Here is a 14,795-nt window from a genome sequence, read left to right on the forward strand (position 1 = left end):
AGTACTATTTTTGAAAATTCTTATGAAAGAATTGATTCAGCAATGGATAAAAAATCAGTGTTAAAACTATTAAGTGAAATGTTGATAGAAGGTGAACACTTGCATATTTCAAGAATATCACCCCCCCAGAAACTGATGTTATTTACTACTAACAGCCTCCTTCACTAAGAGAAATTTTTAGGAATGTACTTTAGAAAAAGGAAAATGATCCCAGGAAGATTTGAGTTTCAGAAAAAAAAAAATGCCTTTTCTCTGCCTTTTCCTGCCCCACTAACCTAGAGAAAAGAAAAAGGAAAGTGCGTAAAAAGATAAACATGTAAATGTGGCAATTATTTTGAACAATTCTGACAACTGGATTCAAACAATCTGAATTAATTTTAATGAAGGTTTCCCAAAGTATTTTATAGGGTATCTAGTCCATTTGAACTTTTAAACTGCTAAAGCAAATTTCTTAATTTTCAAATTGTCGACGAAAAGAGTCAAACTCTGTAAGATATTTAAAGAGATTTATTCTGAGCCAAATATGAGTGACCATGGCCTGTGACACAGCCCTCAGGAGATCCTGAGAACATGTGCCTAAGGTGGTTGGGGCACAGCTTGGTTTTATACATTTTTGGGAGACATAAAACATCAGTCAAATACATTTAGGATGTATACTGGTTTGGTTAGGTTCTGAAAGGCAGGACAACTTGAAGTGGGAAGGCGAGGTGTGGGGGTTCCAGGTTATAGGTAGATTTAAACATTTTCTGGTTGACAATTGGTTGAGTTAATCTAAAGACTTGGGATCAACAGAAAGGAAATATCTGGGTTAAAATAAGGGTTTGTGGAGGTCAAAGTTCTTATTATGCAGCTGAAGACTTCAGGTAACAGGCTTCAGAGAGAATGCACTGTAAATGTTTCTTATCAGACCTAAGGTCTGTGTTGATGTTAATACTGGAGGATGTAATGAGGCATGTCTGATCCCAACTTCCTGTCATGGTCTAAACCAGTCTTTAGGGTTAAATTTTAGAGTACCTTGGCCTAGGAGGAAGTTCATTCAGATAGTTGGAGGCCTTAGAATTTTATTTTTGGTTACATTCTCCTCCTTCTGGCAAGATTTGCCAGGGACAACATCAATGGCCAGCAAATCTTTATTTTGTCTCATAACGTTGCTAGTGTGGCATGGCTGCTGCTCCAGGTCCATCCTGTTATATGGTGGGACTTCCCATGGCCAAGGGTCTTAGAGTCTAAAGGCTTTTAGCCAATTAAATGTTCTAGGCCAGATAGGAATAGATGTAGACAGGCATTTACTACCTCTTAAAATTATTATTTTAAGTAAAAAGCCAACAAACAAAAACTAAAGGCAAAAACTGACTTATCCTTAACTTCTATGCATTCAGCTACAGTAATCTTGGTATTAGTACAGACTTATAGCAATGAGCTGTACAAAAACATAAGCACTGTTCTGAAAAAGACATTTAAAACAATATGTCTATCTCTACAACTCATATCTGGGAGTATTATACCCAGGAGGCTTTGTCACAAAGTATCATTATCCTGCCAGTAAATATTTTCTTTTAATTCTACAGGAAGCAGAAAATTCTTGATGGTTGGGTTGAATGCAAAAGTGCCACAGAATAGCTTAGATGGAAAAATCTCTTCTTTTGCGAGCTGTTTAGGCATCTTTGTACCCCTCCTTGATTTGGACCTTGACCTAATTCTATTCCTCAAAACCAGCCTTTACAATCTCATGCACCCATCTATTCTGTGACAGTCCCTAAGCCCAAAGGAAGGGTGCTTGTAAGGTTTTAGCAGCAGGGATGCTGCCAAACAGTGGGATGCCAGATGAGGGAGACTTGAATCTCTGACCTTCAGAATACAATGATTTTTTTGTTTCCTTGGAAGTAAAACAAGGATAAATAAACAACATTAATATTTTGACAATCAAAAGAATATGTGTGTGTCAGAAACAGAAAAAGGAACTTATTCTATTAGGGCACCAATTAAAGATATGAACAAAAATTATAATCGGGTACTTTCTAGAGATTATTGTAGCTAAGAAATAATTTATGATTCAATCTGCACTCAAAAAAACAAAAGTTAGGGCTGAAATCTAGTATCAAGTGTTACACTTTATCTTTGAAACAATTTTTCTTTCTGTAGCCCTCCTTTTCTATTAAAGAGAAACTATAATAGGACCAATTTGTGTGCAAAATAAGTTTTAGGCTTATTATACTTAGCCTGATTATTTGCATAAAATGCAGCAAGAATTGATTGGCCATATAGGCTTCTTTTAAGTTGGCTTTGCTGGAACTTTACCTAAAAATGATATTTTGGTCAAAGTCTTGGTAAAACAATCAGTGTCTCCAATTGTTCTGTTTTAAAATCTCTTATTAAACTTATGCAAATATTTATATTGTCATAAAATCATAATCCAAATTTTTGCAGAACTCAGAGAGAAAGGTAAATTTGCTTATAAAAAATATACTTCACCCAAATAACTCTAAAGAAAAAAAGAGTTTTTTGAGCCTTCTTTAATCAGAGCAGCAGCCTTCCGAACAAGAGTTTGTTCACCTTGGAACTGCCATTTACGTGCTAAACAGCTCTTGTTACAGGAGAGCTGCTATCAGGCGCTGTAGAATTTAGCAGCTCTTTGCATAGTTAGAGACAGTCCTTGTTAGGGACAAACTGCCTCAGGAAAGCTTCTTGGTGCTGCCCACCCCTCCCCCTAATACTCTGCAACTCTTCTCCATGCTGCCCACCCTTCCCCCAAGCCTCTTTACATTCCTAAGCCCTTATCTAGGTGCTGCAGTGAAGCCAGCAGACTTCACCTATCAGGCCTTTCTGCGATAAGCAAACTCCAATTATAAACCAACCTGATCGCACAGGGGGAGGTCTTGGGAAGCATAAACAAAGTTTACCTACACCCTCCTGTAAGTTCCTGTTCGTCTAGCTGCTACTATAAATGTCTCAAGGTGATATGAGGCAAAATTAACCAGCAAACAATCCCAGGATGTGGCCATACCAAAGAACTCCCTCAAACTCCCCTCCTCAATACAAAACCCTTGTTCTGTAAGCTTGGGGCTGCTTCCTCTGACTGTTAAGGGGGCAGCCGGCAGGTTAACAAAAACGTGCTTGCCTGACTTTGGGTCTATTTTTCCTTTCTCTCGGCTAACCTTACAGTCCTTGGGAGAAAAAAAAAAAGGTTTCCTGCTCATGAGTCTACTCCTTGTATTCCCAGGTAGCAAGATCCTATGTAAACCATTTTTATTTTATCATGGAACTCTTTTGGGCACCATTATTTTCATTAGCACAGGAGTAGCTTCAGTTAACGTTCCATAGCAAGATAATAAATACCCTCAAGTGGAAATTCTCTAGTCTAGTAGTTGTCATTGGGAAATACTCGCAGTCTTTTGCCATAACCCCCAATACATGCTCCACAAAGGGCTATGAGGTAGAGAATTTGTCCTGACTAGTACTGTACTTCAGCTTCTACCCTATATTCTGTGAGCTCAGGCAATCTTACTAGTTCCCATTTAGTGTGTCCAATTAACATTTCTCAAAGAGCAGATTTCCATGCTTTTAGTTTTATAGTACTAGATAGAGAAAACATCTCCCTGTCAGATACAAAACCCATTTTTATAAGACATTTAGGTAAAGGGGTTACAACCACCTTACATAAACCCTGTTCAAACATCTTAAATATCATAATTTTATTAACATGCATATTTTTATGTCCTGGTCTCAGGAACTTTTTTTTCCTACCCCCTAGAATATTTTGCCTTTTCTGGTGAAAAAGGGTTTGGGTTCCCAGCAGGGAGTTGCATCTGTAGGACCCATGAGGGACAGCAAATTTGATAAGGCTTCTCAAACAGTTGTATGATTCCATGGGGTGGAGGGGGGAGGTGGGCACCCATGTACAAGGGGCCCTCTTAACCCCCAAATTTACCATGGCCTGGGTAATAGGCATATTCAGTGGGAGGATATCCCAGTCATCATAAAGCCAGTCCCACATGGCTCACAAATGAGGCCTGTTAACTGCTTCATCTGGGGTGTTCCACTTGGAATTTTATAGGGCAGTCTCCTTCTCAAGGAAAACAGATTTTACAGTGGCATTTATCTGGTCCACTAGGCTGGTTGGAATAACCAAGAATAACCTCCTGTGCATTTGGATCACATACACTCATTAGTCATTGTTAAATACTGAGCTGTGGGTCCTGCATCAACCCAAACAATCTCTTAAATTCTATAGTATTTAAAATTAAGAATTTTGTCCTTAAAGTGGTTATTTTTACAATCCACTATGGTATAGATTTTTCAAGAAACTGATGACACCAATTTAAAAATGGAAAAATTCTTTTACATTATACCTTCTGTTTTTGATAGTTACTTGGTTTTGCCCTTCCCCCTTCTTGGTAACCACAGGTCTCAGAGGTAACTATTGTTGCCCTGGCTTAATTTTTCTTTTCATCCATTTAGTTTTAGCTGTATCATTTTTCCTTCACTTTAAAGTGACTCTTAGTTTCTTAACTAGAAAAAATATATTTTTTTAGCAAAATTGATATCTTTGTGTTTTATAAACCTCACCAAAAACCACGTTACTCTCCTACTATTTTAACTTAGTAACCCAAATCTCGGTGGAAAAAAATACAAAAACAAGATTACTTAACTTACCATAACATGACTTTTAAGATTTTAAATTATTGGAGAGAATGTTGAGATCAAATTTACCAAATTAATTTTATCAAAGATTGCCAAGGTCATGTGAATTAAAAGGCATCCGAGTTAGCCCTATTAGCCTACCAGTCTAATAAGCACTTACTTTTTTTTTCAAGTCAATTGATTAGCTCTTTCATATAGTTCAGTAGTGAAATACTACTTCCACATGACATATTATAAGGCTAGAGCTATAATAGGTATGCAGAATAAAAAAGGCAGGTCTAAAAGATATTTAATTTGCCTGTTTTCAAAAAATATTATCTCCCTTACTTTAGATTATTAATTTTAAAAAGTTACAATAGCCAACCAAAGGTGAAAGAGAGTTACCATACAAGGCCTTTTTAAAAGAGAGGAGCTGAGGGGTGGGTGTGGTGGCTCACACCCATAATAGCAGCACTGTGGGAGGCCAAGGTGGGCAGGTCATCTTAGGTCAGGAGTTCAACATCAGGCTGGGCAACATGGTGAAATCCCATCTCTACTAAAAATACAAAAATTAGCTGGGCGTGGTGGTGGCCACCTGTAGTCTCAGTTACTCGGGAGGCTGAGGCAGGAGAATTGCTTGAATCCAGGAGGAGGAGTTTGCAGTGAGCCAAGATTGTACCATTGCACTCCAGGCTGCAAGAGTGAAACTCCATCTCAAAAAATAAAATAAAATAAAATAAAAAAGGAGCTGAAGCAGCAGGGTGGACCTGAGATATTAATCTGAATAATGTCAAAAAGAAACAGATTATAGAATTTAAAAATTAAAAACTTCTTGCATTAAAAGTAACTCAATATTTTTAATAAGATCTTGTTTTAACTAATTCTGTCATTTTGATTTGTGTATTTTTAATATCAAAGACCCATCTCTAGAAAGTCTATGATAATTTCCTTTAATGATAGCCAACTGAACTATACTACCTTTTTTAAAAAAATACCTCTTTTACTAACCTTTTTATGACTTACATAGAACATCCACGACATGCTTGGACTCCCTGTTTTGTCCTAAATATCCCTCTTTCTTGAAGAACCAGTCATCTTATTTTAGGACAAAAATTCATTGTAGAAGATTCTCATATAAGATCACTTTCCTTTTAACCTTCCTGACCAAAAATGCCTCTTTATATCTATAACTTTCTTTACCTCCCTCTTATTTCCTGGTTCTTTTTACCTTGTTTTGTATGTAACCTCTAAATAACTTTTGAGTTAGACAAAAAATATTCACCTTTCAATAAGAACACACATTTTAAAAAAATGTTTTTTTATAATTTTTAAACGGGAAATTACCCAGACATTTAAATAGTATCTATTAATATAACCTTAGTATCTAAATTATATGGCAAATTTGTTTATAATAATTTATTTTATTATGTTTACTTTATTACTTCATTTAATAGTTTACCTAGATTATTTATGAAAGTTAACTCCCTGTTAACCATTTTGTTTTTTTGAGACAGAGTTTTACTCTTGTTGCCTAGGCTGGAGTGCAATGGCATGATCTCAGCTCACTGCAACCTCTGCCGCACAGGTTCAAGCGATTCTCCTCCCTCAGCCCCCCAAGTAGCTGGGATTACAGGTGCTCACCACCAGGCCTGGCTAATTTTTTGTATTTTTAGTAGAGATGGGGTTTTACTATATTGGCCATGCTGGTCTCAAACTCTTGACCTCAGGCAATCCACCCACCTCGGCCTCTCAAAGTGCTGGGATTACAGGCATGAGCCACCATGCCTGGCTGTTAACCATTTTTGTAACCTATATATAACCATTTTTATAACCTACAAATTTCAGGTGTTTATCTAAATAAACAGACTTATGGTTAAGTAGAAGGGTACTTGTTTTTACCAATAACTCAGGATTTAGCTGTTTTCAGTTAACTAACAATATTAAATACTTTATTTATTAAAAATTACACCAGCAAAGATCATTCTAATTTGGGCTGGGTTTATAGTTTTATAATTCTTATGGCAAATTTTGACACCTTATAGTATTCTGCAGGGATAAGTATGAAACCATTGATTGATCAATAAATGCAAACAAAAATGCTAACTATTCTTAAGGCATTTCTAATATTACTTTACCAATAATTTTAAAGCCAGCTTATTTATTAAAGATTTTACTTAAGTTATATGAACTTAAAAAAGCATTTAACTTAGTCTTTTTTCTAATGAAGTATTTAAGCATTTTTATTTTTCTTTAAGCCAATTAATTAGAGCTCTTTTATATATATTTAGTAGTGAAACTTTATGTATACAACACATAAATACATAGACATATTAGGCATGCTGATAGAAGTACATCTTATAGATTCATAAAACCTCTTTTTATTTCCTATTTTAGACTCCCAGATTCTCCATAACCTGTTTCATTACCCTAGGCAGTTGTCAGCTATGTAGCCCTAAATTTGCATATTAAAGGAAAAACTCTTAGGTGAAAAATCATGTAGCAAAATTTACATCTCAAATTACAGAGAGAAAGTCAGCTGGAGGAAAATTAAAATGGATGTAATTGTCAAGTTAAACATAAAATTTAGAAATCTATAATAGGATTGTACAAGGACACCAATTGTTTTGTACAGGTAGTTCTAATTTTACTCCCTATCTTTTAACTGGACATCTGAGCTCTGCAGAGAACTCACACTGTGTATTGGGTCTCCAAATAGAGAATTATTATAAGGCTAGACCATCCTTTTACAGTTTTCCTTCCCTTTTTTTTAATGAAGACATTTCTCTAAGTGTCTAAGCTACACTCTTTCTTACTTTAAACATCTAAGTGTAAAAAATCAGACAACACATTACAAATGAAAGCAGGTTAAAATCTGAGAAGAAACTTGTGTGTTTTCTCTTGGGATTCCATAAAGAAAAAGAAGTTTCTCCCCAGAAAGGTGTCTGGTGCCTTCTCTGTTTTATTTAAGGAATTTCAGGCTGTTAGAAACTATTTAAGAAAAGCTTTCTGAAGAACAAGGTCATAGGAGAGAAAATAAAAACCAAAAAACATAAAGGCCTTATGTATATGTGTGTGTGTATATATATATATACACACACACATATATATATACACACACATATATATATACACACACACATATATATATATATATATATATATATATATATATATATATATATATACACACACACACACACACATACATGTTGGCAACAGACCACCAAATCTTGCCATAAACTGGCTGACACAGAAAACAATTATACTTATGGGGCATATTTATCAATCTTGGCTGGCAATAATGCCTGGATGTAATCGCTCTATGACCCAGTTACACATGCTCTCTGATCTCAGTATTTACCATAATAAATCTGCTCATAATTAAGGCATACCACCCTCAAAAACCTATTTGTAAATAAAATTGAACCTGGCCAGAAAAAATGAATGTTCTTGTTTGGGAAGATTGCATTACAGAGCAGGCAGAGGTGCTGAGCAATGATTCCTATGGAATTGTTATTATTTGGTCTAGAAGGACATCATTATTATTTGGTCTAGAAGGACACTCTACAAACTTTGTCTTTGGATATTGCAAAATTAAAATAACAAATATTTAAAGCATCCCAGGCACACCTGACTTTAATGCCAGGAAATGGAGTGCTTGAAGGAGCTGCAGACAGATTAGCAGCAGTTGCTTTTATCACTTTGCAAAACAAAGAAGGGGGACATGTTAGGAACAGGACCCCCAAATCTGGCCATAAACTGGCCCCAAAACTGGCCATAAACAAAATGTCTGCAGCACTGTGACATGTTCATGATGGCCGTGATGCCCATGCTGAAGGTTATGGGTTTACCGGAATGAGGGCAAGGAGCACCTGGCCCACCCAGGGCGGAAAACCACTTAAGGGTGTTCCTGAACCACAAACAATAGCATGAGTGATTTGTGCCTTAAGGACATGTTACTGCTGCAGATAACTAGCCAGACCCATCCTTTGTTTCACCCTATCCCTTTGTTTCCCATAAGGAATACTTTTAGTAAATCTACAATCAATAGAAACAATGCTTATCACTAGCTTGCTGTCAATAAATATGTAGGTAAATCTCTGTTTGAGGCTGTCAGCTCTGAAGGCTGTGAGACCCCTGATTTCCCACTCCACACCCTATATTTCTGTGTGTGCGTCTTTAATTCCTCTAGTGCCGCTGGGTTAGGGTCTCCACGACTGAGCTGGTCTTGGCATATACACACATACCTACACAGACACACACTCACACACAAACATACATACACACAATCATCCTATAGCTTTTACTTCAGAACTGTAGCCATAAGATATTAATACAGATTCATAGACTTGCAAAAAAAAAATAAAAAAAAAAAAAAACAAGATTAAAACTATGGGTTTTATCTCAGTAGAAAAGAAACAGCCGATTTATAGCAGGCAAAAAATAAAATCGAGAAAAAGAGAATTTAGGAACTCTATAGTTGCAGGATGACCTTAAGCCTCCTTTTCCTTGATGTAAATGTGGACAAAGACCATGATATGTACATTTAACACAAACACTTGCAAATAGAGGTGCCATAAGGCCAACAGAGTGCCCCAAAGAGGGTTATTCTCCCTTTTTTTCTCCTCATTCTTAGTGTTTCCCACTTTTTTTTAAGGGAATAACTGAGCTGTGGTCTAGGGTTTTAGTGTGCTGGGTCAAGGTATGCTGGTTGTGGGTAGGACTCCACAATGTGTGACCACTGAGTCATGCCTGCCCTCTTATGTGTTTCAGTTTCTCTTTCCAGAGGTCTAAGCACCTCCAGGAGGGCTCAAAGCACAGAGTGACCAGCTCCTATTTGTGATTCCTAGACAAGCCATTTTAAACTAATTTTGTTGGGGGCTCCCGGTAGGACTGCTGCCTCATGGGGGTCAATCCCCCAGACACTCCCACTCGACCCCTGGTCACTCAGGTGTGACTTTCAGCTTGGAGGAGCAAAATGCCTTTTCTTTTCAGAGCTTAGAAAACTCGGTCTCTCATTTATATATGAAAATGACAGTTCAATTTCTCATGCAAATGCACACACAAGCCAAATTGAGATTAATATTGGGAGATACAGCAATAGAGAAGACCCTTTAGAATGCATCTGTGAACTGGAATGAGAATCCTAAACAACAACTTCTCAGGAAACAAAAAAACTAGCTCAGAATAAACCAAGGACCATCAATCAAAGGGAAGTTTGGGGCTCAGGAGGACTCACCAGTTCCACCAGAGGAGAAGGTCAAAGTTAGGGAGGCTTTCAATGGGCCCCTGATGTTACTTTAGCTCCAAGTTTGAGCAACTTCTTCAGGGTCCCAAGTGTTTTCTGAGGCCCCACATGTTTGGCCACCAAATTATTGTTGATGAAAAGAGTCAAACTCTGTAAAATATTTGTAAGGATTTATTCTGAGCCAAATATAAGTGACCTATGACCTATATTTATTCTGAGCAACATACAAGTGACCTATGACACAGCACTCAAGAGGTCCTGAGAACATGTGCCTGGGGTGTTTGGGACATAGCTTGGTTTTATACATTTTTGGGAGACAAGAGACATCAATTAAGTACATTTAAAATGTATATTGGTTTGGCTCAGTTCAGAAAGCAGAATGACTCAAAGTAACTGGGAGGGGATGGTTTCCAGGTTATTGGTAGGTTTAAAAATTTCCTGGTTGACAATTGGTTGAGTTAATCTAAAGACTTGGGATCAATAATAGAAAGGAAATGTGTAGGGTAAGATGAGAGATTGTGGAGATCAAAGTTCTTATGCAGATGAAGGCTTCAGGTAAAGGGTTCAGAGGGAATAGATTGTAAATGTTTCTTATCAGACTTAAGGTCTGTGTTGATGTTAATGCTAGAGGGTATAACTAGGCATGTCTGACTCCAACTTCCTGTCTTGGCCTGATCCAGTCTTTAGGGTTAAATTTTAGGGTGCTCTGACCTAGGAGGAAGTCCATTTAGATGGTTGGGAGGCCTTAGAATTTTATTTTTGGTTTACAAAATAGACACTATCAGATTTTTTAAAATCCATTAAAGCCAAAGGTATCCTATTGAAACTAAAAATTTCACACAATTTAGTTTTATACTCAAACTTTTTCAAACACTTTGATTAAATGATCATGTAGGTTAATACAAACACATTAACTTTTGATGCTCTTTTAAGGTTATTTAAAAAGTAAGTACTCATCTAAGCCCAAATAAAGAAAACAACCATCATCACCTCCATTTGAGAGGATTGAAAGATGAATTGCTGTCTAAATAATTAGAAAAGTAGTATTTTTGAAAATTTATATGAAACAATCAGTTTTAATTTGAGTCAAAGGGAAAGTAACATTCTGAGAAGGGGATGGGCCACAGGAATATACTTACCACATAAATGTTTAAGAGCAGAGTGTGAGGTTGCCATGGACTGAATGTTTATTTCCTCTAAAAATTCTTATGTAGTAGCCCTAATCTCCAAAGTCTGAAGATGGGGCCTTTGGTAGGTAATTAAGTCTTGAGGGTGGAACCCACATAATCAGATTGTGCCCTTATAAGGAAGAGACGTAAGGGAGCTTGCTTCCTCTCTCTGTTCTCCACCATGTGACAATACAGTGAGAAGATGGCCATCTGTAAACCAAGATGAAAGCCCTCACAAGAACTTGACCATGCTGGCAGCCTGACCTGAGACTTCTCAGATTCTGGAACTCTAAGAAGTAAATATCTGTTGTTTAAGCCTCCCAGTGTATGGTAATTGTTATAGCAGCCCTAACAGATTAAGTCAGAGGGAGAGAAGAGGGATTGGATCAGATTAACAAAAAGTACAAAGCAGTGTGAGAATGAAAGTTACAAAGTTAATGATTGAGACTCAGTGGTTCCTGAGATACACAAGAAGTATATGGTACTGTAAGATTAGCACTGAAACTCTTAGAGGAGAAGACAGGCAGTGTGTCCATTGCTGTGGTTCAGGAGTCTTTGCTTGATAGAAAAAGGATCAATGGGGCCAGGCGTGGTGGCTCATACCTATAATCCCAGCACTTTGGGAGGCCGATGTGGGTGGATCACTTGAGGTCAGGCGTTTGAGACCAGCCTGGCCAACATGGTGAAACCCTGTCTCTACTAAAAATACAAAAAGTAGCTGGGTGTGGTGGTGCACTCCTATAATCCCAGATACTCAGGTGGCTGCAACACAGGAATTGCTTGAGCCCAGGAAGTGGAGGTTGCAATGAGCTGAGATGGTACCACTGCACTGCAGCCTGGGTAATAGATGAAGACTCCATCCAAAAAAAAAAAAAAAAAAAAAAGGCAGGTGTGGGGATGATCAATGGGATAGCCAACTCTTGTCATTCTCACTTCCAGTTGGAAGAGCAATTGTTCTTGATCAGCAACACAATTTCTAGATCTAGTTTATCCTACAAAATGTCCTGTTGCTTAGTTTCCTTCAATTTACCCACACCACATAATCATAGCTCTTCATTAAAAAATATATGTGTGTGTGTGTGTATGTGTGTGTGTGTGTGTGTGTGTGTGTGTGTGTGTGTGTGTGTGTGTGGTTTAGGGAAATCTTTTTGCTTTTTTTTTTTAAAAAAGCAAAATTTATTTAAAAACCACATTTTTTTATGTCTGAGTTTCAGTATATTGCCACTGCAATTAGATGTTTTTTGTATTTTTATAGTTGAACTTTTGAAAATGCTTCATTTCCTTTGGCATTAAAGTCTAATTTTGTACACTAAATTTAGATGAGTAAGTATTAGCAAAGAAAATGTAACTTCCTTAATTTAATTGTTTGTATGAGGTATTATTCAACCATTTGTTAGATGGGGCCTTTGGGAGGTTATTAAGCCTTGAGGATGGAGCTGTCATAATCAAATTGTGTCCTTATAAGAAAAGACTTGAGAGCTTGTTTCCTCTCTGCTCTCCACCATGTGAGAATATAGTGAGAAGACAACCATCTGTAAACCAGGAAGAAAGCCCTCACCAAGAATTTGACCATGCTGGCAGCCTAACCTGGGACTTCCCAGCCTTGAGAAACTCCATTTCCTTTCTCAAGGCTTATTTAAACTGTGACATTTAATAATGTACTTGGACTAAATAAAATGAATGAGAGTAGAGACAACCGAAAGAAATATCTTAAAGTTTTCAGTTAGGATACCTTTTCTGCTGATTTTAAAATTCACTTTGAAACATTCTGTTTTAGAATTATGTCTTTTTTGAGTAAATTCCAAATCTGTCTGGTTTTTCTCTGCTGTTTTTTCCCCAAAGATGTCAGTACATTTATATAATATTGTGGCCATAAGAAATGTTTCTCATATTTGAAACTGAGCCCTTTATTGTCTATACACTTGAGAGGCTGGTGTGTTGCAGTAATTGGCTTTTTCTGAGGTGCTCATAGTCATAGCTATCACTTTCCCACTTATATCATCAGCTTTAAATATTGGTGAACAGCAGCAACATTGAATTGTTTTTCCTTTCTCTCCTTGGCAATGAAAAATGTACTCCCTCACTGAATACCAAATATAATACTTAATTAAGTCCAATATCATATTTTATTTCCTATAGCTGTTGAATATTATTTCTTTATATCTCATTATCCTCAGAGATCTTGATGACATAGAAATGAGATCATGAAGAAGAAATGAGTTTTTTGGAAAATTTAATTTATCAAGAAATCTTTCTAAAATGACACTTTCTAGGGAATCAAATAGATGAAATATGACTTAAATACATATAGAACTATATATGATAAAAAAAAGCTGTTGAAATTAAATTCTGAATAAAATAGATGAATCTGTGGCAGAAGTAAATAAGTATGAAATACATACAGTGATTTACTCCTTATTCTTATTAAATATTGCAGTTGTGGAAAGCAGAAGGGCTGACATTGATCATTTAAAGTGAAGGATAATTAGTGGCTATAGGGGACTTGGGTTGGGAGTGGCTGTTGATTTGCTATGGTCAATTGGCTATAAAATTTAAAAAAATGTCTCCATAGAGGCTGATTCTGACACAGGAGGAAAAAAGACATTATGTGAACAAGCAGGCATAAATACTGTTCAACAAGACCCTTAATATTTGGTAATGTCGTACCCCAAAAGAGATCTGCAATCAGATGGTAAGCAGACTTGACCCAAAGTTTGATTTTAAGATCAGGTTGTTTTTATCTTTCCACCTCACAGGATGCTTTATGTAGTAATAATATTTTAATGACAAAATAATCATAGTAAGCATTAGAATTTTTTATTTATTGCTTACTAGCCACCATTTAATATGTTAAGCTGTTTATGTGAATTATCTCATTTAATTCTAACAGCAGTCTTAGGAGGTTGACAATTTTATTACTGACCTACTTACTATCAGAGAAATTAAAAGACAAGATAACATGACTAGTAAAACCATGATTTGTCTCCAGTGAGCTGACTCTAGATCACATGTTCTTGATCTCTTTTACATTTTTATGATTGAAATTTTAGTTTGTATTGAGACAATTGTAGATTCACATGCAGTTTAAAGTGATAGTACTGAGAAATCATTTGTGCACTTAGCCCAGTTTTTCCCAATGGTAACATTTTGCAAAATTATAGTATAATATTACAATAAGTACACTGACGTTTATACAATCCACCAGTCTTACTCAGATTTCCTCAGGTTTTTTTTTGTACTCATGTGCTTGGGTGTGTGTTTTATATTCTATATGATTTTATTATCTAAGTTCATATATTTGCCACCACAGTCAAGATACTGAACAATTCTCACACCACAAAAATTCTGCATGTTAACCTTTTATAAACACATTCATCTCCCTCTTATTCTTCCCTCATTCCTATCCCCGGGCAACCACTAATCTTCCCTCTATTTCTAAAGTTGTGTCATTAAAAAAAATTTTTTATATAAGTGTAATTATATAGTATGTACACTTTTGTAATTGACCTTTTTCACTGGAGAGTCATTCATGTTGATGAGTTTATCAACAATTCCATAATTTATTCACTTTTATTGTGATTTAGTATTGCATGGTGTGAATGTACCACAGTTTAAGTATTTACCTGTTGAAGGACATCTGCGTTATTTACAGTTTTTGGCTATTACAAATAAAGCTACTTTCAACACTTTAGCTTGTTGTATGAAACAAATTTCCTTTAGCTTACATAGTAATTTAATGTTGAATATTATAAGAAACT

At 36.3% G+C, this 14,795-nt stretch overlaps 1 annotated feature.

Moving 5' to 3' along the window:
• Positions 816–4,154: an enhancer, noted in NCBI's record as "VISTA enhancer hs2570". NCBI's record gives its function as "enhancer in: heart[3/4]" and the evidence as "EXISTENCE:transgenic organism evidence [ECO:0001131][PMID:17130149]".

This window comes from Homo sapiens, chromosome 4, assembly GCF_000001405.40.
Source record: "Homo sapiens chromosome 4, GRCh38.p14 Primary Assembly".
Taxonomy (NCBI): domain Eukaryota; kingdom Metazoa; phylum Chordata; class Mammalia; order Primates; family Hominidae; genus Homo; species Homo sapiens.